The 26,268-nt window shown below is 47.0% G+C and overlaps 1 protein-coding gene across 5 annotated transcripts in view, besides 4 other annotated features; it reads left to right on the top strand.

The window, feature by feature from the left end:
- DENND2A (DENN domain containing 2A) overlaps positions 1–26,268 on the top strand; it is a 123,042-nt gene that overhangs the window by 69,806 nt on the left and 26,968 nt on the right. For all 5 annotated transcript variants that reach the window (NR_134477.1, NM_001318052.2, NM_015689.5 and 2 more), the window contains 7 exons: positions 1,917–2,010; positions 2,842–2,892; positions 4,382–4,569; positions 11,838–11,947; positions 13,443–13,512; positions 15,942–16,019; positions 24,716–24,856. Coding sequence is in view for 4 of the 5 variants with exons in the window: in NM_001318052.2 (NP_001304981.1) it covers positions 1,917–2,010; positions 2,842–2,892; positions 4,382–4,569; positions 11,838–11,947; positions 13,443–13,512; positions 15,942–16,019; positions 24,716–24,856 (732 nt within the window). In the remaining variant the exon portion in view is untranslated. The remainder of the gene's footprint in view (positions 1–1,916; positions 2,011–2,841; positions 2,893–4,381; positions 4,570–11,837; positions 11,948–13,442; positions 13,513–15,941; positions 16,020–24,715; positions 24,857–26,268) is intronic.
- Positions 1,252–1,752: an enhancer, noted in NCBI's record as "H3K27ac hESC enhancer chr7:140269703-140270203 (GRCh37/hg19 assembly coordinates)". NCBI's record gives its function as "activates a minimal SCP1, AML or CMV promoter by ChIP-STARR-seq in primed H9 embryonic stem cells {active_cell/tissue: H9 hESC(primed)}" and the evidence as "EXISTENCE:reporter gene assay evidence [ECO:0000049][PMID:30033119]".
- Positions 1,753–2,253: an enhancer, noted in NCBI's record as "H3K27ac hESC enhancer chr7:140269202-140269702 (GRCh37/hg19 assembly coordinates)". NCBI's record gives its function as "activates a minimal SCP1, AML or CMV promoter by ChIP-STARR-seq in primed H9 embryonic stem cells {active_cell/tissue: H9 hESC(primed)}" and the evidence as "EXISTENCE:reporter gene assay evidence [ECO:0000049][PMID:30033119]".
- Positions 15,834–16,334: an enhancer, noted in NCBI's record as "H3K27ac hESC enhancer chr7:140255121-140255621 (GRCh37/hg19 assembly coordinates)". NCBI's record gives its function as "activates a minimal SCP1, AML or CMV promoter by ChIP-STARR-seq in primed H9 embryonic stem cells {active_cell/tissue: H9 hESC(primed)}" and the evidence as "EXISTENCE:reporter gene assay evidence [ECO:0000049][PMID:30033119]".
- Positions 17,588–18,318: an enhancer, noted in NCBI's record as "NANOG-H3K27ac-H3K4me1 hESC enhancer chr7:140253137-140253867 (GRCh37/hg19 assembly coordinates)". NCBI's record gives its function as "activates a minimal SCP1, AML or CMV promoter by ChIP-STARR-seq in naive H9 embryonic stem cells {active_cell/tissue: H9 hESC(naive)}" and the evidence as "EXISTENCE:reporter gene assay evidence [ECO:0000049][PMID:30033119]".

Raw genomic sequence — 26,268 nt, 5'->3', positions numbered from 1 at the left:
ATGGACACTTGGCTGTTAGAAAGTTGGAGTGTTTCAACAGAAGTGACTGTTGAAACACTCCAACCCCTTCATTTTCCCGATGAGGACATTTGACCCCATAGAAGCCAACTAAATGGCCCAGAGACACCCAACCAGCTAGAAGCAAAGAGGGCCAGACAATGTTTAAATATTGAAAATAAGAATTGAAATATTCAAGCCAACACGGTGGCTCATGCCTGTAATCCCAGCACTTTGGGAGGCTGAGGTGGGCAGATCACTTCAGGTCAGAAGTTCGAGACCAGCCTGGCCAACATGTTGAAACCCCCGTCTCTACTAAAAATACAAAAAAATTAGCTGGGCATGGTGGCACACACCTGTAATCCCAGCTACTTGGGAGGCTGAGGCATGAGAATCACTTGAAACCGGGAGTCGGAGGTTGTGGTGAGCCAAGATCACGCCACTGCACTCCAGCCTGGTGACAGAGCAAGACTCTGTCTCAAAATAAATAGATAAATAAAATATTTATAGAACATGGAAATTGATTACCATCCTATATTTTTGTTTACTGACCTATACAGATAAAAGTGTTATATAACATTTAACATATAGCTGTGAGATAATAAGATTAATTTTGTAAGCACACAGAACAACTAATTTTAGAGTTCCTCCACGTGTGGGATTCTGAATCACATATGCCATGAGCGTGTACTCTTTGATAGCAAGCCCTGGGGGACCCAGCAAAGCAAAATACATAAATTCGCACTCACCAGCTTCTCACGCAAGAAGAGGGAAAACAAATACATAGGAAACACCAAACTTTTTTGGTCTGAAATATGAAAAACATTTTCCATGGAAGCAGGTCTCCTTTCAAATGCATCAGACAACTAGGCTGGCCTGGGAGGTGGGGAGGGGCAGGGCACAGGGCGTCTGGCAGTGGTGATGGGGGAGACCACATAGGCTGAGTGGCCTGCTTGGAGGCTTGGGATGTGTCCCACACCAGGGTATCCATGTGCACTTGCACACTGCATGTGTGTGTTCTGTGAACACATGGAGGGTACATGACATCTGGGGAGCGTGTCCCTCTGCAGATGGGGCTGCACGCTCGGGTGCATGGCACCACTCCCCGTAGTCCCAAGCTAGGGCTCGGGAGCAGTTCTAATCCCGGTTCTCACCCCACTCAGGGCTGCTCTGACATTCTTTGGAATAGTTCCCATGAAGGGAGCCCTGCCTGGGAACTTTTTTTTTCTGTCTCTTCCTTTTCTTGTTTTGTTTTGGGAGGAAAAGCTCCTTCCCAAGCCGCAGTGACATCGAGGCCTCAGAGGGAAAGCAGCCATCGCATCATGAGCAATGGGCTGTCTCCCCATGGGTCTCTGCTGCTCGTGAGCAGATCCAGACAACAGACGCCCATAGGGCAGTGGAGCTGGCAGCCTCCTTTAGTGTCCTTGACAGTCACGTTCCTGTGTGGTAGAAAAAAATGACTGGGCTGGGTGCGGTGGCTCGCGCCTGTAATCCCAGCATTTTGGGAGGCCAAGGTGGGTGGATCACCTGAGGTCAGGAGTTCGAGACCAGCCTGGCCAATGTGGTGAAACCCCGTCTCTACTAAAAATACAAAAATTAGCTGGGCATAATGGTGGGTACCTGTAATCCCAGCTACTCAGGAGGCTGAAGCAGGAGAATCTCTTGAACCCAGAAGTTAGAGGCTGCAGTGAGCTGAGATTGCGCCATTGCACCCCAGTCTGGTCGACAAGAGCGAAACTCTGCCTCAAAAAAATAAAAAAAAAAAATGATTGAAAGACACCCATGAGCCCATGGGAAGTTTCTCCCACTCCCCCTGGCCCTGGCCCTCCATCGTCCTAGGAGAGGGGCAGTGAGGGAAGCCCAGCTGCCACAGAGAGTGGGCTGCTAACACTGGCTGTTCTTCTCCTGGTGTCTGGCAGCTGGTGTTGCGAATCAACGCCATTTATGAGGTCCGGAGAGGAAAGAAACGGGTGAAGAGGCTGTCCCAGTCAATGGAGAGCAACTCAGGAAAAGGTAGAACCCCCACCACCAGCCCTCCTCCCGCAAGAATCGGAAAAGAGATTCTTTCCAGAAGTGGCTTCCTGTTTTTTCTGGTTGGCTCACCAAGGAGGAGAACAAGCTGATGCTTTGTAAATGTCCCGCACTGTCTTTGGGACAGTGGTGGGGCTGGGAGCTCAGCCGGGGCAGCATGTCCCCTGCCTCCCCATCCTTGTCCTGGTCCACCACCAAGTCAGCCCAGTACTGCAGGCCCTGGCCTGACTGTGGGAGCAGCCTTCCTTGCTTAGCCTGCACAAAAGGGGCCAGGACCTTCTGTTGTATTATCTGATATAGGTACCATCTAGTACCATCTGAACTAGAGCCAAATTAATTTGGCAGTACATCGAGTTGGACGAGACGTGGTTTGTGCAATACATTGAAAGAGACAACAAGAGGCGGGGCGCGGTGGCTCACGCCTGTAATCCCAGCACTTTGGGAGGCTGAGACAGGCGGATCTACCTGAGGTCAGAAGTTTTATACCAGCCTGGCCAACATGGCAAAACCTTGTCTCTACTAAAAAATAGAAAAATTAGCCAGGCATGGTGGCATACACCTGTAGTCCCAGCTACTCAGGAGGCTAAGGCAGGAGAATCACTGGAACCTGGAAGGCAGAGGTTGCAGTGAGCCGAGATTGCGCCACTGCACTCCAGCCTGGGTGACAGAGCAAGACTCCATCTCAAAAAAAAAAAGAGGCAACTCAACATCCCCTCTGAATTAGAACATTTGATCTGTGCTACCACATAGAAAGAGTTTCCTACATGAGAAGAACTCACATTTGCAATTTTCTTCCTTGTTCTTTTCTTCTAGTGACAGATGAGAACAGTGAGTCTGACAGTGACACAGAGGAGAAGCTGAAAGGTGAGGAGAGCCACTACTGTGCAGGACTCAGGCAGGTGACTTGGAAGCTGCAAAGGTGGCCCCTCCTCCTTAGTATGAGGGACAGAAGCGTCCTGCCGGAGCTTGCTTGGCAAGGCGTGGACATCTCGGGAGACAGTGGGGCCACAGGGTGCTCCAGAGCCGGTCCGTCATGGGCATGATCAAAATGGCACTACAGTTGCTGAGAGCCAGGGTGGCTGCAGTAACGGCAGCGACCCCTGCTCCCATGCCTCTCCCTATGTCCTGAGGGTTTTCCACACTTCAAGGCTTGACACTGCAGCCCTAAGCCTCCAGAGACCTGGAGCTTCTGCCCACTTCTGCTCAAATTACTGTGTGATCTGGAGGAAATCACTTAAGATCCAGGGCCTCTAGTTCATCTGTCTGATGAAGTTGTTGAAATAATTGGTCCCTATGGGTCTAAAATTAAATAGTCTAGGCCAAGGCTTTAGTGAGTTTTCTGCAATTTTTCAGACCCCAGGGAGAAGCCAAAGAAAGCAAGTCCAGGGGCCGGGCTTGGTGGCTCACGCCTGTAATCCCAGCACTTTAGGAGGCCGAGGCGGGTGGATCACAAGGTCGGGAGTTCAAGACCAGCCTGGCCAACATAGTGAAACCTCGTCTCTACTAAAAATATGAAAAATTAGCCAGGTGTGGTGGCAGGCGCCTGTAATCCCAGATACTCAGGAGGCTGAGGGAGGAGTATCACTTGAACCCGGGAGGCGGAGGTTGCAGTGAGCTGAGATTGCGCCATTGCACTCCAGCCTGGGCAACAGAGTGAGACTCTATCTCAAAAAAAAGAAAGCAAGTCCAGATTGCTGAACGAGGTGACAGGGACCTGTCCACTCAGTGACCCTGCTGCATTCACCTCTGACACCCAGCTGCTCCCGGACTCACCTCTAGAATGAAGCAAGGCCATTTCATTGCAGAGTTAGTGGCAGGAGGGGAGGTGGACAGGAGTTCCTGAGTTAGTGGGATCTCTGCCAGTTGAGTCACAAGGGATGTTTACAAAGCTCCCAGCTCCAAAAGCCCTATAGTCTGGATTCTGTCACATCACACCAACCAAAAGACGAGGGAAATGGGTGAGGGGAGGAGTCACTGTCCCCATCTCATCAGACAGATGAAGGCAAGGACATCTTCAGCCTCTGCCCAGAGTCCAGACAGCAAAACCATGGCAGAGCAGAGCCAGGCTCCTGCACCCTGATTGGTTTGGTAGCCAACTGAATGTTGGTTCTCCCAGAACTTTGGCAGAGATCCCAAATAAAGAGTTTCCTACTAATTTGTTAGACACAGAAACACTTTGGGGATTAGAAAAAAGTACTTGAGCTGATAATTACATAACCTATTGCAGCTCGGCACAATTCCACATGGACTCATGGTCATTTCAGGCTCTTTGCTCACTCTGTCTCTCTCTCTCTCTCTCTCTCTCTCTCTCTCTCTCTCTCTTTCTCTCTTTCTCTCTCCCTCCCTCACCCAGCTCACAGCCAGCGCCTGGTCAACGTGAAGTCCCGGCTGAAGCAGGCGCCTCGGTACCCATCACTTGCCCGGGAACTCATCGAGTACCAGGAGAGGCAGCTCTTCGAGTACTTTGTGGTTGTGTCTTTGCACAAGAAGCAGGCCGGGGCTGCCTACGTGCCAGAACTCACCCAACAGTTCCCTCTGAAGGTAACAGGGTGGCCAGGTCCCTGTGGCCTGCCAGGGTTCTAACCATCACCTTGTTGGGACTCATGAATTGAGGGAGGTGTGGGAGTCTGAGGAACACCTAGCATCTAGAATCTTGAAAATGGGTCCTAATTAGGGTATATCAGATGAAAAAAAAATGCTGCTGCTAGAGAATTTGGGAGGTCCCAGAAAGGAGAGATTCAGGGACTTAAAAAGTTTGGCCAGACAAATACAAAAATTAGCCATGCATGGTGGCGCACACCTGCAGTCCCAGCTACTCAGGCTGAGACAGGAGAATCGCTTGAACCCAGGAGATGGAGGTTGCAGTGAGCCAAGATCACGCCACTGCACTCCGGCCTGGGCGACAGAGCAAAACTCCGTCTCAAAAAAAAAAAAAAAAAAAATAGTATGGCCAGAAATGCTTTCTCACTTGCTGTGGTCCCTGTGCTGACCGTGCCATCCTCTTTGCCCTTTCCTTCCATCTCCTTATCCAGCCAGCCACATCTCTTCCTAACCTAGCCTAGAAGTCTCTTTCCCCTGAAGCCCCAAGTCTCCCTAAGCAGCATCATACTTGTGTCTATGCTGAACTTCTGCTTTGCTTGTGTGCTGTGCATCTTTGTGTATGTCCCTTCCTTTTGTTACAGGCAGGGGATCTCAATCCAGACCTCTAGAGAGGGTTCTTGGATCTCACACAAGAAAGAATTCAGGGCGAGTCAGCAGGGTAAAATGAAAGCAAATTTATTAAGAATGTAAAGGAGGCCAGGCGCGGTGACTCACACCTGTAATCCCAGTACTTTGGGAGGCCGAAGTGGGCGGATCACTTGAGGTCAGGAGTTTGAGACCAGCCTGGCCAACATGGCAAAACCCACTCTCTACTAAAAATACAAAAATTAGCTGGGCGTGGTGGCAGGCGCCTATAATCCCAGCTACTCAGGAGGCTGAGGCTGTAGAATCGCTTGAACTCAGGAGGCAGAGCTTGCAGTGAGCAGAGATTGCAAAAAGTAAAGGAATGAAAGAATGGCTACTCCATAGACAGAACAGCCCTGAGGGCTGCTGGTTGCCCATTTTTGTGGTTATTTCTTGATTATATGCTAAACAAGGGGTGGATTATTCATGCCTCCCCTTTTTAGATCATATGGGATAATTTCCTAATGTTGCCATGGCGTCTGTAAACTGTCATGATGCTGGTGGGAGTGTAGCAGTGAGGACTACCAGAGGTCACTCTCATCACCATCTTGGTTTTGGTGGGTTTTGGCCGGCTTCTTTACTGCAACCTGTTTTATCAGCAAGGTCTTTATGACGTGTATTTTGTGCCGACCTCCTGTCTCTGCTTTAACCATCTGGGAATGCAGCCCAGTAGGTTTCAGCCTCATTTTACCCAGCCCCTACTCAGGATGGACTCGCTGTGGTTCACACACCTGGGACACTTTTATGTCATGGACCATGGCCGTATGAATTCAGCTTTACCATATGTTAAATCATGGCACCTAAAATAAAATAAATAAAATGGCACTTAATATAGCCTGAAGCAACATGGCAATAATTTATAAATTATTCTTAGGCTTTGACATCAGTATTAAAGAGGTTCCACCATATTCTAATTCAGTTCAACCAGAATTTACTAAGAATATATTGCATTCAAGCAATTTTCTGCTTGGCCCTAGGGGATTACAGTGATAAACAAAATGTGTCTCCTGTCCTCAAGGAATTTAAACTCTCCCAGGAGGACATAAAATAACCATCTCCCCCCACCCCCAGAAAAGCATGCAAAGATTCACCAGGTAGAATCTGATGGTCTCTGGACAGACTCATGCCTCAGGGAGGGCAGAAGGGAGGGAGCTTCTGTCCTTGCCCACTCAGGGACTCCCTTTGCCATCACCACCCAGGCATAACCCCAGCATCTACCAAGGCCCAGATCCTGCTGTCCCCAGGCCTCCCCTCCTTTTGTAGGCCAGCCTTCCTTCCATCCTGCCCACTGTGCTCTAACACCACAATCAAGTCCTATTTTTGGAGTTTAGGATAGCAATTATGTAGATTGAAGTAAACCATAGGCACCGGCCTTCCAAAGGTGACACTCACCTTCCTCTAGCTATCACACCTCTAAGGAATGAGCTCCTGACACCCCACTACTACAGGTATGCCCAGATTTTTTTTTGCCGGGGGCTGCCCATGGGTAAGAGAGGCCACTGGGTATGCTCACACTGACTCACAACAGAGATCACTGAGGCGTGAAGGGCTGTCCTGCTATCCTGTTCATTGCCTTGGGGCCTAGCACAATGCTGTTCACGTGGCAATGCTTAATCAGTGTTGTAGGAATCAAGGAAGCATTAATTCATGAGTTAGTTAATTAATGACTCACCATAATGATCAAATGATTATTGTTTCCAGCCTGGAGTCACCCACATTAAATTTTTTTTCTAGAGTAAAGTTGCACATTCACTGTTTAAAAGGAAACTGATCCAGAAATGTATTAGGAAAGAAATCACTAGTAATCCCACCACACAGAGACCGTCACTGTTAACATTTTCTTTTTCTTCCAGTCTTTTCTAATGGTGTAATGTTCTTACAAAACTGGAATTATACACTGCAGAATTTTTGTATCGTGCTGCGTGTACTCTTTTGTAAACCTCTCATTATTTATAAGCATATTTAATAAAAATTCTAAAACATCATTTTTCAAGTTATACAATGTTCCAATATGTGAGTATTCCCTAGTCTATTTTTCTATGTAACCAGTCCCCTTCTGTTAGAAATGTATCTGGCTACCAGTGTTTCTGTGTGTGTGTGTGTATTTTTTTTTTTTTTTTTGACACAGTCTCACTCTATTGCCTGAGCTAGAGTGCAGTGGTGCAATCTTGGCTCACTGAAGCCTCCACCTCCCGGGTACAAGCAGTTGTCCTGCATCAGCCTCCCGAGTAGCTGGGATTACAGGCATGCACCACCATGCCCAACTAATTTTTGTATTTTTAGTAGAGATGGGGTTTCACCATAATGGTCAGACTGGTCTCAAACTCTTGACCTCAAATGATCCGCCCACTTCAGCCTCCCAAAGTCCTGTGATTACAGGCATGAGCCACTATGCCCTGCCTGTGTGTGTATTTTTGAGACAGGATCTCTGTCTTGCTGTTGTCATCCAGGATGGCATGGAGTGGCACGATCACAGCTCACTGCAGCCTCAACCTCCTGGGCTCAAGTGAGCCTTCCCGCCTCATCTTCCCAAGTAACTGGGACTACAGGCGCATGCAACCATGCCCAGCTTATTTATTTATTTATTTTTCGTAGAGACGAGGTCTTCCTCTGTTGCCCAGGCTGGCCTCGAATTCCTGAGCTCAAGCGATCTCCCTACCTCGGCCTTCCAAAGTGCTGGGATCCACTGTGCCTGGCTTTTTTTTTTTTTTTTTTTTTTTTTTTTAATGCAATGGTGATCATCCTTGTACAGGCATTTTTACATGTCAGGCATTTTATCTCCTTGTCTTTGCTCCCTTGCTCCCTCTGTAGAAAGGCCCTTTTCCTCCTTCTCTCTCTTCTCTTTTTAAACTTTTTTTGTGGGTTTTATCCCTCACTTCTGTCAAGTCACCTGAATCAAGGCACAGCCCCTATTTGCATGCTAATGTTCCATTAAAATGTTTCCTATCCCATATTTATCTTTGACAGTTCAGGGAGACTGGGCTGTTTTCCAGCCATCTGTGATTAGTTGTATTTGTGGGAAATTTCCGTGTGCAGCTTCCTGTAACTGTGCTCCTGTGCATATATGAGCCTGTGTATGTATGCGCTGATAACTCGTAGGTTGATGACGTGTGGGTAGGCACAAGTGTGCCTGTATTTGTGTGTGTCCTATGTGTGATCTGGGGTGGGTGCATGCAAGTAGTGACTGGGCTGTTGAAAAGGGCTGGAACTTGTTTCCCCACGAGGTCTGCTCTTCAGTCCTGAATGCTGTTTCCTTTGTGGAGAAACTCATTTGGTATTCTTCCTCCCTTTGGTATTCTTGGCTGGTCCTTTCTTTGGTCTTCTTTATAATTTAAGTCATTCACTCTGTGGTGATTAATGACCCCTTCCTATAATTACACCCAGCTGGTATTTGCTTCTTTGCATGACTATGCAAGGACAGTCAAAATTACTGTTTAGGGGACAGTCTGAGCTTGTGATTTACCAACTCAAAGACTTCCTGGGCCAGTTGGGTTCATCTGTGTCATCGTGGATGGAAGAGAGAACTGTTATATAGAAAAGAAATAGTGGCTATTTATTCTGAAGAAGAACAACTAAAGGACAACTAAGTCTATAAATAGTGACTGTGTTTTACCGATTGATTGCTGTCTTAACCACTAGTATTAGTGGCACCCCATGGCTTCAATTAAATTTGGTCTAGCCTGAGGGGAATCATACTGGAAGCGGGTTTTTTTGTTGTTGTTGTTTTGTTTGTTTGTTTTGAGACGGAGCCTCCCTTTGTCACCCAGGCTGGAGTGCTGCGGCATGATCTCCGCTCACTGCAAGCTCTGCCTCCCGGATTCACGCCATTCTTCTGCCTCAGCCTCCTGAGTAGCTGGGACTACAGGCACCCGCCACCACACCCAGCTAATTTTTTTGTATTTTTAGTAGAGACGGGGTTTCACCATGTTAGCCAGGATGGTCTCGATCTCCAGACCTCGTGATCCGCCCGCCTCAGCCTCCCAAAGTGCTGGGATTACAGGCGTGAGCCACCACGCCCCAGCCAGGAAGTGGTTTTTAAAGTTGGAAACAATCAGTCTGGTGCTCTGTGCCTTTGGATACTCTTCTTCAGAGCCCTCCTCTCTCTGACACATGGTGACCTTGGGAAGGCTTGTTGACCATCAGGAGCAGTGAACAGGACTGCTGGCTTGCCAACTTCAGAAATTGTCTGCAAGGGTGTTTTAAAGTGGAGCTCGGGCCGGGCGCGGTGGCTCACGCCTGTAATCCCAACACTTTGGGAGGCCAAGTCAGGGATCACTTGAGATCAGGAGTTCGAGACCAGCCTGGCCAACATGGTGAAGCCCCGCCTCTATTAAAAATACAAAAATTATTCAGGCGTGGTGGCAGGCACCTGTAATACCAGCTACTTGGGAGGCTGAGGTAGGAGAATCACTTGAACCCAGGAGGTGGAGGTTGCAGTGAGCCGAGATTGCAGCATTTCACTCCAGCCTCGGTGACAGAGCAAGAGTCCATCTCAAAAGAATAAATAAATAAATAAAGTGGATCTCACTAGCAAGCTATTGGAAACAAAGAAATTGATGCAAATTATTACAGAAAAATTTAGGTTAGGGCCAAACACCGTGGCTCATGCCTGTAATCCCAACATTCTGCGAGGCTGAGGCAGGCAGATCACTTGAGGCCAGGAGTTCAAGATCAGCCTGGCCAACATGGTGAAACCCTGTCTCTACTGAAAATACAAAAAAAAAAAAAAAAATAGCTAGGTGTGGTGGTGCATGCCTGTAATCCCAGCTACTCGGGAGGCTGAGGCAGGAGAATCACTTGAACCCATGACGCAGAGAACCCATGCAGTGAGCCAAGATCACACCACTGCACTCCAGCCTGGGCGACATAGTGAGACTGTCTCAAAAAAAAAAAAAAAAAAAAAGACAACAGAAAGAAAGAAAAAATATAGGTTAGCCATTATATTTAGGTTAGACGTTATAAATTCCTAACCTCAGATATTCAGATATGAGATATTTCAAATCACTGAAGATAACCTTAGCATGATGTATTTTTCTTTAACTTTTTATAAAGGAAATTTAACAAGTATAAACCTATTAACAACAACAGCAACAAAGCCTACAATTCTCCTCACATGAAAAAGTACCTGTTTATAAGCAAAGATGAATAATAATGAGATAAATAATTAGAAATTATTCTTTTGTGTTTCCCAAACTTGTATCTGGGGTGCTTCTTAAAAGCACAGATTTCTGGCTAGGTGTGATGGTATGCACTCGCAGTCCCAGCTACTCAGGATGCTGAAGCAGGTTGCTTGAGCCCAGGAATTCAAGTCCAGCCTGGGCAACACAGCAAGACTCTGGCTCTAAAAAATATATATTTATACATAGAAAGAAAAAAAATCACAAATTTCTGTTCATAAGCAAAATAAACTCACGACTTTAGTATCATCTCTAAATCAGACTTTATTAATTCATCCTGTCCTTTTTTTTTTCTTAGCGTCTTGTTCTGTCGCCCAGGCTGGAGTGCAGTGGTATGCTCTCGGCTCACTGCAACCTCCACCTCCTGGGTTCAAGCAGTTCTCATGCCTCAGCCTCCCGAGCAGCTGGGACTACAGGTGCCGGCCACCACACCCAGCTAATTTTTTTGTATTTTTAGTACAGACGGGGTCTCCCCATGTTGGCCAGGCTGGTCTCAAACTCCTGACCCCAGGTGATTCACCCACCTCAGCTTCCCAAAGTGCTGGGATTACAGGTGTGAGCCACCACTCCCGGCCCTTGTTCTTTTTTTTTTTCCCATAGAGGTGGGACCTTGCTATGTTGCCCCAGCTGGTTTTGAATTCCTGGCCTCAAGTGATCCTCCTACCTTGGCCTCCCAAAGTACTCCTCCTGTTCTTTAACAAGATAACATTCATCCAGTCTTTGATATGTCAGATACTGTATGATGTGCTAGAATATCATAAAGAGAGAGAGAGAGGAAAAAAAGATTAAGATCATTTTTCTTCCTAGTTTGAACATTAACTCATGTGACCAGGACACATCACTTCACACCTCGGGGCTTATTTCCTTCTTGCTGAAATAAGAATGTCAGGCTGGATGGTGTCACGCTTCCTTCTAGTTCCAACACTCAATGACTGTCTGAAATTAGTTGAATTTCCCAGCATAATATGGTTTTACTGGATTTATTCACTGAGAATGTTGTAACAGTCTTTGCCTGGAGTTCGAAAGGGACAGCTTTGCCTGGACCCAGAGACAGAGAGGCCTGATTAGAGGCTCTGCCTTCCAGATTCCTGAGCCTCCTATTTGGAAAGGATTGCTGGCAGTTTTTTTAATTCACTGAAATAGTTACATTCTAGAATGTCAAGCATAGAGAATCATTCTCTAAAGCATCCTATTTTTTCCTCCCAACTTCTCCCAGAGGTCTATAGTTGGAAGTGCACTGGGGGGAAAATGCCCCAGCCGACTGAGCTGCAAGCTCTTCCCAAGGGAAGAGGCTAAGGCGGCAGTCACAAATGTGGAAAGGTGGGAGAGGCCATCCTTACCATCATCCGCCTCAATTTCCCATGCTGAGATTTGTTCTCGAATTTTCTCTCACCTTTCTCCCTGCAGTTGGAAAGGTCTTTCAAGTTCATGAGAGAAGCTGAGGACCAACTGAAGGCCATTCCCCAGTTCTGTTTTCCCGATGCCAAGGATTGGGTTCCTGTCCAGCAGTTCACCAGGTACGAGCTGGCTTCTCCCCTTCGCAGCCCCAAAGACTAAGGCGAGACTTAGAGACGGGGTTACAGGTGGCAGACCACATGAGTCATTCCCACCGTTAAGTAATCCTGATGGGCCTGGCCTAGAGCTTTCCCCAAGGGGTGTTTTTAAAGCTTCCCTGAAGGTGAAGTCACCTGCCCAGCATGCAGACCTCCCGGGCTTCCCACTCAATCTGGGGATACTTGTTTCAGAAGCCTCCCGGAAGATAATTCTTAGCCTGGGAAAAGTTAGGGCAACATTGCCCTTCCCCGTTCTCATCCTGAAACATCTCTTCAGTCTCCTATCCAGATGTTTCTTGGATTGGGATCCGTTTACATTTCTGCTTCATCCCGAGTAATTAGACACCAGTGTTTTTATTATCAGATGTTTCCGCATTTGGCCAAACTCAGTAGGCTGCGGGTCCTGTCTTTAAGGGGTACCGCGTTCCTTGAGGGTGGCTCAGCAGTCTTTAAGGACCGTCCAAGCCCCGGGGCTGCCCTGTACAGACCATGCCCTGAGAGAGCTGCCCCAGGGCAATTCCAAGAGGGGCACAGAACTGTCCCCATCTTCCGCTGCTCCCTCACCGAGTCACATCCCTAGATGAGCAGATGTCACTGCACTCACACATGCTCAGTTCCCTGAGGACAGCACCCCAGGCTCTTCCCTCTCTTTAGCCTCCAGAGTAAATGACAGTTGTGTTTTGTACAATGGGGCAGCTCAGGTGATTGAATGATGGGAGAGCCCTTAGCTAGGCATGGTGGTGGCAGGCGCTGGGGCAGGAGAATCGCTTGAACCCGGGCGGCAGAGGTTGTGGTGAGCCGAGATCACACCACTGCATCCCAGCCTGGGCAACCGAGTGAGACTCCATCTTGAAAAAAAAAAAAAGAGAAAATGACAGGATAGCCCAGGATGGAAACAAAGCACCACATTTTGTCTCAGGCCACAGCGACACTTTAGGTCTCAGTCTCACTGACTTTTTTTTTTTTTTTTTTTTTTGAGATAGAGTCTCGCTTCTTCCCCCAGGCTGGAGTGTAATGGCATGATCTTGGCTCACTGCTACCTCTGCCTCCTAGGTTCAAGCAGTTCTCCTGCCTCAGCCTCCCCAGTAGCTGGGATTACAGGCATGTGCCACCATGCCTGGCTAATTTTTGTATTTTTAGTAGAGACAGGGTTTCACCCTATTGGCCAGGCGGGTCTCGAACTCCTGACCTCAAGTGATCCACCTGCCTCAGCCTCCCAAAGGGCTGGGATTACAGGCATGAGCCACTGTGCCCAGCCCAGTCTCACTGACATTTACTATGAAGCTATGGGTGACCAGTGTCTCAGCATGGACAGGGACAGGTGGGACAGGGAGTGGCCTTTCCTACAGCCTCCTGCAGTGTGTCCCATGGCTGCTCACTGCCACCCCTTGCTGCAGAGTGATGAGGTGTCTTTGGTTTTGTTTTGCTTTATGATACATTTGTGTTTTCCCAACCACAGTGAAACATTCTCATTTGTCTTAACTGGAGAAGATGGGAGCAGAAGGTTCGGTTACTGCCGAAGACTGCTGGTGAGTACATTCTGCTTTCAGCCTGCAAGAGCCTCGTGGACTTCCTAGTCCTGGTGCAAGAGCCAGGTCTGGCTTCCCAGTCCCGTGAGACTGAGATTCCCTGATGAGGCACAGGAGGAGAAGGAGCAGGGGGAGTGGCAGGTGAATCAGCATAGTTAAAATCACAGAAAAAATCTGGCATGGTGGCTCATGCCTATAAACCCAGCACTTTGGGAGTATGAGAAGGACAGATCACTTGAGACCAGGAGTTCGAGACCAGCCCGGGCAACAAAATGAGGCCCTGTCTCTATTTTAAAAATATATACGGCCGGGCGCGGTGGCTCACGCCTGTAATCCCAGCACTTTGGGAGGCCGAGACGGGCGGATCACGAGGTCAGGAGATCGAGACCATCCTGGCTAACATGGTGAAACCCCATCTCTACTAAAAATACAAAAATTAGCCGGGCATGGTGGCACGCGCCTGTAGTCCCAGCTACACGGGAGGCTGAGGCAGGAGAATGGCGTGAACCCGGGAGGCGGAGCTTGCAGTGAGTCGAGATCGCGCCACTGCACTCCAGCCTGGGCGACAGAGCGAAACTCCGTCTCAAAAAAAAAAAAAAAAAAAAAAAAAATATATATATATATATATATATACTAAAAAATAAAACATTAAAAAAACAGGAATTGAGGGGGCTCACCTGAGTCTTATTGGTAGGTGGGAATGTCCGTTTCCATCAGAAAGAAAATACTTTTATTTCATTTTGAGACAGGGTCTCACTCTGCTGCCTGGGCTGGAGTGCAGTGGATCATGTTTCACTGCAGCCTCGACCTCCCCAGCTCAGGTGATCCTCCTGCCTCAGCCTCCCGAGTAGCTGGGACCACAGGCATGTACCACCACACATGGCTAATTTTTTAATTATTTGTAGAGACAGGATCTTGCTGTGTTGCCCAGGCTGGTCTCGAACTCTTGGGCTCAAGTAATCCTCCCACCTCGGCCTCCCAGTGTGCTGAGATTACAGGCATGAACCACCGCAACTGGACAAAAATACTTTCTCCATTATTTTTCCTGCCAAATAAAAGACCTTTCTCTCTTTAAGCGAATTTTTTTTTTTCTAATAAAACATGCCAAACAGACCCTGATCACTTAGAGAGAACATTCAGAATGGTTGCTAAGGAGAGAAGACTCAAATAATTCAAGAATGTCCCCTTCAGAATAGTCACCTTTCAAAGTCAGAAACTTATTTCAGTGCAATGATCCTGCTAAAGCATTTTAGAATTGTCATTTTCAGGCCCATTCTTTTGAAAATCTTCAGTAATGGTGAATCTTTTTCCACTGAGAATATACTTGAGTCTCTGAAATAGGCTGAAAAACTTTAGGGTCAAGTATAATGCGTGGCACATAGTAGGTGTTCAAGAAACATTTTTTGAATTAATCAGTAAAATAAAAAGCATGGATAATTGAAAAAGGTAAGTGAGATAATAATTTTGTTGATCAAATTACTTTAGGGTTAAAGTATTGAGACTGAGGTCGGGCACAGGCTCACACCAGTAATCCTAGCACTTTGGGAGGCTGAGGTGGGCAGGTTGCCTGAGCTCAGGAGTTCAAGACCAGCCTGGCCAACATGGTGAAACCCTATCTCTACTAAAAATACAAAAAAATAGCTGGGCGTGGTGGCACACGCCTGTAATCCCAGCTATTCGGGAGGCTGAGTCACAAGAATCTCCTGAACCTGGGAAGTGGAGGGTGCAGTGAGCTGAGATCGCGTCGCTGCACTCCAGTCTGGACAACAGAGCAAGACTCCGTCTCCAAAAATAAATAAATAAAAATTTTTAAAAGTATTGAGATTGGGCAGGGTGCAGTGGCTCTCACCTGTAATCCCAGCACTTTGGGAGGAGGAGGCAGGCAGATCATGAGGTCAGGAGTTCGAGACCAGCCTGGCCAATATGGCGAAACCCCTTCTCTACTAAAAGTACAAAAATTAGTGGGGCGTGGTGGTGTGAGCCTGTAATCCCAGCTACTTGGGAGGCTGAGGCAGGAGAATCGCTTGAATCTGGGAGCTGGAGGTTGCAGTGAGCCAACATCACACCACTGCACTCCAGCCTGGTGACAGAGTGAGACTCCATCTCAAAACAAAACAAAACAAAACAAAAAAAGTATTGAGATTGATTTTTTTTTGTTTGAAAATTAGCTTAAAACTGAGTTTTCAGAAAGATCTTCAGAAATGATTTCTCACTTGAAATTATCATTATAATAAACATATAGGGATACAAAACAATTATAACAAACATTATAATAAACACAATGGGATAACAACTTACTTTATTGGGTTTTCCAGAGCTATGATATGTGGAAACATCTGGCACATGATAGTCTCGCAAAAAACATGTGGGTTCCTTTCTTCCCTGAGGTTGTCAACACTCATAATTCCCTTGTGTTTCTCTCCGAAAAGCCTGGAGGCAAAGGGAAGCGCCTTCCTGAAGTTTACTGCATTGTGAGCCGCCTGGGATGCTTCAGCCTCTTTTCAAGGGTGAGAACTTGGACCTCAGAGAAAGAGGAAGGGAAGGAACGGGAGGGCTCTAGAGGGCTCCAGGGAATACCCCCATGTCCTGGGCCTTCTATCATCTTATTCTCTACCTACTTCCCTTCCCATTTCTTCACTCCTCTCCTCATCACCCCTCTATTCTCTCACCATTGGTTCAGGAAATGAGAGTTGATAGGCCCGGTGTGGTGGCGGGGTGGCTCATGCCTGTAATCCCAGCAGTTTGGGAGTCTGAGGCGGGCGGATCACTTGAGGTCAGGAGTTCGAGACAAGCCTGGCCAGCATGGTGAAAGCCCATCCCTACTAAAAATACAAAAAAAAAATTAGCCAGGCGTGGTGGCGGGCGCCTGTAACCCCAGCTACTCAGGAAGCTGAGGCAGGAGAATCACTTGAACCCGGGAGGCGGAGGTTGCAGTGAGCCGAGATCGTGCCATTGCACTCCAGCCTGGGTGACAGAGTGAGACTCCGTCTCAAAAAAAAAAAAAAAAGAGTTAATGAAGAGCCAGGTTCAGAAAGTGTGTGTGGTGCAGGGATGGCAAGATAATTGAAGTTGAGAAAGGGAGGGGTGGAAGACCCTCCCAGAATATTCCAGGTGTTTTATTTTTCTTCTTCTGAGAATTGCCTTTTGTCATATGAGCTTTGGCGTGAAAAAAGGCTACTGTAATAGATGGATAGGTGTGTACCCACGTACATATGTGTCATGTATATATAACAGTTTTGTGGAGGGGGGATTAATTATTTTAATAGTGCTCTAAGTTTATCAAAATATTCATATAATTTGGTCTTCTTTTCTGGAAAATGAGCCAACATATGAACGCATAGGAATTGCCGTATTGAATTAGCTCATCTACCCCGGTATTCTGGATTGGTATATAGGAGAGAATTACTATCCTATATGATGCTGATCTCAAAAGCTAGGTATAATCCAACATCATTTCCTGTATTAACCAGACATGAGTGTCTAATTCATAATTTTTTTTCTTTTTTTGAGACAGAGTCTCACTCTATCACCCAGGCCGGAGTGTAGTGGTGCGATCTCGGCTCACTGCAACTTACACCTCCCGGGTTCAAGCGATTCTTGTGCCACAGCCTCCTGAGTAGCTGGCATTACAGGCGCGTGCCACCACGCCTGGCTAATTTTGTATTTTTAGTAGAGATGGGGTTTCACCATATTGCCCAGGCTGGTCTCAAACTGACCTCAAGTGATCCACCCACCTCGGCCTCCCAAAGTGCTGGGATTATAGGCGTGAGCCACCGCGTCTGGCCTAATTCATAAATTTATTTTCAATCCTTCTTGAGTATATAGCTCTGTCTGAGCTTTCTTTTGGGGAATTGAAGTTCCTGCACCTACGGTCCATGAATGTTAAAGCAGTACTCCCTAAAAGCATTTTTTTTTTTTGAGACGGAGTCTCGTTCTGTCGCCAGGCTGGAGTGCAAGGGTGCGACCTCGGCTCACTGCAACCTCTGCCTCCTGGGTTCAAGCAATTCTCCTGCCTCAGCCTCCTGAGTAGCTGGGACTACAGGCACATGCCACCACACCCGGCTAATTTTTGTATTTTTAGTAGAGACGGGGTTTCACCATGTTGGCCAGGATGGTCTTGATCTCCTGACCTCGTAATCCGCCCACCTCGGCCTCCCTAAGTGCTGGGATTACAGGCACAAGCCACTGCATCCGGCCCCTTGTGGGGAAAAGAAAGAGAGATCAGACTGTTACTGTGTCTGTGTAGAAAGAAGTAGACATAGGAGACTCCATTTTGTTCTGTACTAAGAAAAATTCTTCTGCCTTGAGATGCTGTTAATCTATAACCTTACCCCCAACGCCGTGCTCTCTGAAACGTGCTGTGTCCACTCAGGGTTAAATGGATTAAGGGCGGTGCAAGATGTGCTTTGTTAAACAGATGCTTGAAGGCAGCATGCTCGTTAAGAGTCATCACCAATCCCTAATCTCAAGTACCCAGGGACACAAACACTGCGGAAGGCCGCAGGGACCTCTGCCTAGGAAAGCCAGGTATTGTCCAAGATTTCTCCTCATGGGATAGTCTGAAATATGGCCTCCTGGGAATGGAAAGACCTGACCGTCCCCCAGCCCGACACCCATAAAGGGTCTGTGCTGAGGAGCATTAGTATAAGAGGAAGGAATGCCTCTTTGCAGTTGAGACAAGAGGAATGCATCTGTCTCCTGCCGTGCCTGCGCAATGGAATGTCTCGGTATAAAACCCGATTGTACGTTCGATCTACTGAGATAGGGAAAAACCGCCTTAGGGCTGGAGGTGGAACATGCAATACTGCTTTGTAAAGCATTGAGATGTTTATGTGTATGCATATCTAAAAGCACAGCACTTTATTCTTTACCTTGTCTATGATGCAAAGACCTTTGTTCACGTGTTTGTCTGCTGACCCTCTCCCCACTATTGTCTTGTGACCCTGACACATCCCCCTCTCGGAGAAACGCCCACGAATGATCAATAAATACTAAGGGAACTCAGAGGCTGGCGGGATCCTCCATATGCTGAACGCTGGTTCCCTGGGTCCCCTTATTTCTTTCTCTATACTTTGTCTCTGTGTCTTTTTCTTTTCCAAGTCTCTCATTCCACCTAACGAGAAACACCAACAGGTGTGGAGGGGCAACCCACCCCTTCACCCCTAAAAGCATTTCTATAAAAAAGCCTTCCTCCTGCCCACCCTCCACCTAAACTCAGAGGAAACCTGAATTATACAAACATAGTACAATCTCTTCCCATGGTAGAACTTGTACTTCTCTGTAAATCTGTTAGAAAGAATTAATGCCTGGTCAGGAGGCTGAGGCCAGTAGATCACTTGAGCCCAAGAGTTCGAGGCTGTGGTGAGCTGTGATCGTATCACTGCACTCCAGCCTGGGAAAACTAGCAAGACCCTGTCTCTAATTAAAAAATAAAACACAAAAGAAGGCCAGGCGCAGTGGCTCACAGCTGTAATCCTAGTACTTTGGGAGGCCAAGGTGGGAGGATCGCTTGAGCCCACGAGTTCAAGAGCAGACTAGGCAACATGGTGAAACCCTGTCTCTACAAAAAATACAAAAAAATTAGCCAGGCATGGTAGTGTGCACCTGTAGTTCCAGCTACCTGGGAGGCTGAGCGGTGGGAGGATTGCTTGAGCCTAGGAGGCTGAGGCTGCAGCGAGTCATGTTCACACCAGTGCACTCCAGCCTTGGCAATATAGTGAGACCCTGTAAAGAAAGAAAAGAAAAAGAAAGAAGAAGGAAGGGAAAGGAGAGGGAGAGGGAGGGAGGAAGGGAGAGAGAGAGGGAAAGGAAGGAAGGGAAAATGAAAGAAGGGAAAAAGAGAGAAAAAGAAAGAAAGAAAATGAATGCTATCAGTGTAATCTGAGCCAAGGTCTCCCCTCCCCTCCACCAGAAGTGCTCATCACTTTATGTTGGGGTTGGCCATTGGCAAGGTCTAGCAGACTAGGCATTACTGCTCAGGCCAGGCTTTCATGTGATTTGTTTACATGTGAAGTAAGGTTATAGGTCATAGCCTTTGTTGTTGTCAGAATGCTTATGAACACCAGAAGTAAAACAGCTCATGTGAGTTAGGCCAGCTTCCAAGTGGAGGCTTTGAAGTTCACGTAAGCTTCACTGCTGTCATGGGCAGGGGACGTGGAGCCAGTAAATGTGCTAACATATTTCTGTGATGCACAGTCCTTTGTTTTCATGTCTGTTTTCTGACCAGGGATATTTTAGGAGTGCAGTGTAATGACTTGCCGAAGACCACACAGCAGTTATTCAGGACAGAACCAGAACCAGAGCTTTAGCTAACTGATCCCAGGAACTTGAGCTATTTCTAGGCGTGGAGCAAGGATGGCCAAAATGCATATTGTCCTTTAGAACAGAAAGGAGTCATGGAGAAGAAGAGCAGGTCTCAGAATTTCTGAAGAAAAGGGTATCAGTTAACAATTGCTATAGTAATACTGTCTAGTGAACCACAGAGGCTTCAAGATTCAATCATTTGTTCTCCCAGCTGTGAGGTCAGCTGGGGTTTGGGCTTGGCAAGTATTGTGAAGAGGCTGGGTTGGCTGATTGAGGCTGGTCTAGCTGCTCTAGAGGCTACAAGTCTGGGCGCAGGCCTGGTCCACATGTCTCCCATGCTCCTAGACAGTGAGATGGCCCACATGTGCTCTTCTCGTGGCAATGGCAGAGGCACAAAAGGGCACACAAAACACGAAGGCAGGCCTCCTAAGGCCTGGCCAGAGAACCCGCATGGCAACGCTTCTGCCTCGTTCTGCCCAGTGTCCCAAAGGCTTTTTTTCTTTTCCTTTTTCCTTTCTTTTTTTTTTTTTTTTTTTTTTTGAGATGGAGTCTTGCTCTGTCGCCCAGGCTGGAGGGCAGTGGCGTGATCTTGGCTCACTGCAACCTCCACCTCCCAGGTTCAAGTGATTCTCCTTCCCAGCCTCCCGAGTAGCTGAGATTACAGGAGCCCGCCACCACACCCAGCTAATTTTTGTATTTTTAGTAGAGACGGGATTTCACCATGTTGGCCAGGCTGGTCTCGAACTCTTGACCTCAGGTGATCTGCTTGCCTCGGCATCCCAAAGTGCTGGGATTACAGGCATGAGCCACTGTGCCCGGCCACAAGCTTTTTTTTCATTACTGTCCCCCTAAGCAGCCTTTTCAGGTGTGTTTTCCCTAACTGTCTCCCCCAAAATTCTTTTTATTTTTGTTCATATTATTGTCTTTTTCTTGTGCTAAAATATATACATAACAAAAAATTTACCATCTTAACCATTTTAACAGTTCGGTGCCATTACACTCACATTGTTGTGCAACCATCACCACCATCTATCTCCAGAGCTTTTTCATCTCCCCCAACAGAAACTCTGTACCCATTGAGGCCAGGCGCGGTGGCTCACGCCTGTAATCCCAGCACTTTGGGAGGCCGAGGTGTGGATCACCTAAGGTCATTAGTTCAAGACCAGCCTGACCAACATGGTGAAACCCGATCTCTACTAAAATTACGAAAATTAGCTAAAGCTGGATGAAGTGGCTCACACCTGTAATCCCAGCACTTTGGGAGACTAAGAGGGGCAGATCACCTGATGTCAGGAGTTCAAGACCAGCCTGGCAAACATGGTGAAACCCCATTTCTACTAAAAATACAAAAATTAGCCAGGGGCTGAGGCAGGAGAATCGCTTGAACCTGGCAAGCAGAGGTTGCAGTGAGCCCAGATCGCACCACTGCACTCCAGCCTGGGCAACAACAGCGAAACTCAGGCTCAAAAAAAGAAAAAAATTAAGTGAGTGTGGTGGTGGGCGTCCGTAATCCCAGCTACTCGGGAGGCTGAGGCAGGAGAATCGTTTGAACCTGAGAGGCAGACGTTGCAGTGAGCCAAAATCATGCCATTGCACTCCAGCCTGGGCAACAAGAGCGAAACTCTGTCTCAAAAGAAAAAAGAAACTCTGTACCCATTAAACAATAGCTTCCCATTCCCCCTCCCCTAACCCCACCCCTAACCCCACCCCTATCCCCTCCCCTAACCCCTCACCATCGCCATTCTACTTTCTATTTTTATGAATTCCAGGATTCTAGGAATGTTACAGAGGTAGAACGATCAACAGTTGTCCTTTTGTGACTGGCTTCGATTCACTTAGCATAATATTTTCAGGGTTCACTCATGTCGTAGCATGTATCTGTACTTCATTCCTTTTGTGGCTGAATAATATTCCACTGTATGTATGTACAACATTTTATTTATCCATTTATCCATTGATTGATTATTTATCCATTTATCCATTGATGGACATTTGGGTTGTTTCCACGTTGTGGCCATTGTGAATTATTCTGCTAGGAACATAGGTGTCCAAATAAATATCTATTCAAGTCCCTGCTTCAATTCTTTTGGGTATACACCCACAAATAGAGTTGCTGGATCATATGGTCATTCTATTTAGTTTTTTGAGGAACTGCCATACTGTCTTTTTAATTTTAATAATAAATTTTATTTAACACAATATGTACAAAATATTATTTTATTTCAGCATATAGTTAACATGAAAAAAATCATTGATATATTTTATGTTATTAATTGTCTATTTCGAGGGCCGGGCATGGCGGCTTACACCTGTAATCCTAGCACTTTGGGAGGCCGAGGTGGTTGGATCGCCTGAGGTCAGGAGTTCCAGCCTGGCCAACATGGCAAAATTCCGTCTCTACTAAAAATACAAGAATTAGCTGGGTGTGGTGGCACATGCCTGTAATCCCAGCTACTTGGGAGGCTGAGGCATGAGAATTGCTTGCTAGGAGGCAGAGGTTGCAGTGAGCCAAGATTGCGCCATTGCACTCCAGCCTGGGCGACAGAGCAAGACTCATTCTGGAAAAAAAAAATGTGTATTTTGAAATTCCATTGGTATTTTACACTTTTTTTTTTTAGATGGTTTTGCTCTTGTCACCCAGGCTGGAGTGCAATGGCGCGATCTCAGCCCACCACAACCTCTGCCTACTGGATTCAAGCAATTCTTCTGCTTCAGCCTCCCATGTATCTGGGAATATATCTGGGAATATAGCCTGCCACCACGCCTGGCTAATTTTGTAGTTTTAGTAGAGATGGGGTTTCACCGTGTTGGCAGGCTGGTCTCAAACTCCTGACCTCAAGTGATCCGCCAGCCTTGGCCTCCCAAAATGTTGGGATTACAGGTGGGAGCCACCATGCCCGGCTGGTATTTTACATTTAACAATACATCTGGGCCAGCACAGTGGCTCATGCCTGTAATCCCAACACTGGGAAGCCGAGGTGGGTGGATCACCTGAGGTCGGGAGTTCGAGACCAGCCTAACCAACATGGAGAAACCCCGTCTCTACTAAAACTACAAAATTAGCCAGGCGTGGTGGTGCATGCCTGTAATCCCAGCTACTCGGGAGGCTGAGGCAGGAGAATTGCTTGAACCCAGGAGGCAGAGGTTGCAGTGAGCCGAGATCATGCCACTGCACCCCAGCCTGGGCAACAAGAGCGAAACTCTGTCTCAAAAAAAAATAAAAAATAAAGTAAAAAAACCTCTGAATTCAGACTAGCCATATTTCAAGGGCTCAATAGCTACATGTGATACTTTTATAAATGGCAGTTTTTAAAAATAGAGACTGGGTCTCACTATGTTGCCCAGGCTGGAGTGTGGTGGCATGATCATAGCTCATTGCAGCCTCAAATTCCTGGGCTCAAGCAATTCTCCTGCCTCAGCCTTCCAAGTAGCTGGGATTACAGGTGTGTGCCATCTCACCCAGCTTCATAAACGGCATTTTAATTTAGACTCTTCAATTTACAATTAGATTGTGGAGAGTTTGGAATTTTTTTTTTTTTTTTTAGTTTTTTAGTAGTAGCTTTATTAAGATATAATTCACATACCATGCAATTCATTCATTTAAAGTACACAATTTGCTGAGCACAGTGGCAAGCGCCTGTAGTCTCAGCTACTCAGGAGGCTGACATAGGAGGACACTTGAGCCCAGAAGTTGAAGGCAAGCCTGGGCGACCTAGCAAGACTCCCATCTCTAAAATAATAAAAAATAAAAAATATATACAGTTCAGTGGCTTTCAGCATATTCACAGAGTTATACAACCATCACCACAATTTTAGAGCATTTTCATCACCCCAACAAAACACCCTATACCTATTAGCCGCCACTCCCTAACTCTAAGCAACCTCCAATCCACTTTCTGTCTCTCTGGATTTTTCTATTCTGGACATTTCATCTAAGTGGAATCATACATTAGATGGCCTTTTATGACTAGCTTCTTTCATTTAGCATAATGTTTTCAAGAGTCATCCAAGTTATAGCATGTATCAGCACTTTGATGGCCAAATAATATTCCATTATATGGATATAGTGCATTTTGTTTATCACTTCATCAGTTAATGGACATTTAAGTTTCTTCTGTGTTGTGGCTATTATGAATAATGCCGCTACAGACAATCATGTACAAATTTTTATGTGAACATATATGTTTTCACTTCTTTTGGGTAGGTACCTAGGAGTGCTATGTGCTGGGTCATATGGTAACTCTATGTTTAACCTTTTGAGGAACTACCAGACTGTTCTCCAGAGTAGCTTCACTATTTTACATTCCTACCAGCAGTGTATGAGATTTCTAATTTCTCCATGTCCTTGTCAACACTTGTTCTTATCCATCTTTTTATTAGAGTCATCCTAACGGGTGTGAAGTGGTATCTCATGGTGCTTTTGATTTGTATTTTCATGATGGCTATCCCCTCCCATGACATTTTCATTTCATAAATAAACTGTATATCTGTTTATGTACTGTGACCTCTTAGAGGGCTACAAACCACTGTAATATCTAAGTTTTTTCATTCCTCCCAAAAACCAGTTCTTACCCCCTTGGGGTTATATTACCTTCATTGAGAATGCATGTATTAGTACAACCTGTCACATGGCCAAACCCTAGGTCAAAGGGGCAAGGAAGTGGACTTCACTCCTGAGTAGGAGCTGCAACATTGCATGGCAAAGGGTGTGGACACACAGAGGAGAGAAGAATTGGGGACAATCATGTGTAGGGTCAAAGGGCCTGTTTTGGCCTCATGGGGAAAGCAGGGCTTCCCCATAATTCTTGAGTCACCATGGCAGGCCCACTTCACCTAGAACTGAGCTCCACCTTGGTGCTTTGGCTTCGGAATAGCTAAGCTGCTTTTCTGACCCTTGCAGATCTTGGATGAGGTGGAAAAAAGACGAGGCATCTCTCCTGCCCTGGTTCAGCCACTCATGAGAAGTGTCATGGAAGCCCCTTTCCCAGCCCTGGGCAAAACCATCCTTGTCAAGAACTTCCTGCCAGGTTCAGGAACTGAGGTGAGTTGTCAGACTCCTTCCTTCTCCCTGGGGAGGCAGTGGCCCAGACAGCCGAGTCTCCGTGCTCAGAGGGGCTGCCTTTCAGTGAGCAGTCCAATTCCTTGGTGTCTTCTCCCCACCCCTAGAGCTGGCCCAGATCACTCATCATGAGTTCCACCCTCAATCCATCCAGCCTAGGACTCTGCCCAATGCGGCAAGCCCAAGAACTATGCTATGGCAGCTGGGGTGTTCCTTTGCATGATGTTGGCCTCAGGTTAGGGATCTGCACTGAACATCCTTAATTTCTTTTAATAGCCCGTTTTCTTTCATACATTTTATTGAAACCTATTTACATTTCAAGTCTGTATCACCTCTATAACTTTATTTTTTGTTTTTGTTTTTGAGACAAAGTCTTGCACTGTCGCCCAGGCTGGAGTGCAGTGGTGTGATCTCGGCTCACTGCAACCTCTGCCTCCCAGGTTCAAGCTATTCTGTTGCCTCAGCCTCCCAAGTAGCTGAGACTACAGGTGCCTGCTGCCACACCCGGCTAATTTTTGTATTTTTAGTACAGACGGAGTTTCACCATGTTGGCCAGGATGGTCTCAAACTCCTGACCTCATTATCCACCCGCCTCAGCCTCCCAAAGTGCTAGGATTACAGGCGTGAGCCACCGCGCCCAGCCTGGGCTGGGATTTTATGAAGGAGTTTGTTTTCATCCCTCCCACCCCCTTTGCATGGCTTGGTGGACATCAGAAGAAGGACCCCATTTAGCCTTGAGTCTTCAGTTTCAGAGACCCTCAGCAAACCAGATCACCTCTGGAAACAAAGGAGGGAGGAGAATAGGCCTGGAACACTCTGGAACAACCTAGTTTCCCAGCAGAGAGAACAGCAATCTCTGTGTTGCTAGAGAACCTGAAACCATCCCATACCAGATGCAGTGGCTTGGCCATGGGGATGTAGCAGGGAGGTTACTGGAGAGGAAGCCTCACCGTTGGGGCAGCACCAGGCGGTGCAACACTAAGAGTGAAATCCACTCTCTGCTCACCGGGAGGGAGGCAGCTATTTAAAGAGAAAAAAACATGCACATGGGTACCAACTTGAGGGAATTCAGGAACATTTCAACAAGTGCAGAATAAGAAGATATACACACAGGCTGGGTACACGGTGGCTCACACCTGTAATCCCAGCATGCCTGTAATCCCTCCCTTTGGGAGGCCGAGGCAGGTGGATCACTTGGAGTCAGGAGTTCGAGACCAGCCTGGCCAACATGGTGGAACCCTGTCTCTACTAAAAATACAAAAATTAGCCAGGCATGGTGGCGGGCACCTGTAATCTCAGCTACTTGGGAAGCTGAGGCAGGAGAATCGCTCAAACCTGGGAGGCGGAGGCTGCAATAAGCCAAGACTGCACCACTGCACTCCAGCCTGGGCAAC

This window comes from Homo sapiens, chromosome 7 (assembly GCF_000001405.40).
Source record: "Homo sapiens chromosome 7, GRCh38.p14 Primary Assembly".
Classification (NCBI taxonomy): Eukaryota; Metazoa; Chordata; class Mammalia; order Primates; family Hominidae; genus Homo; species Homo sapiens.
Note: the sequence above shows the minus strand (reverse complement) of the source record. Positions and strands in the feature narration are given on the sequence as shown.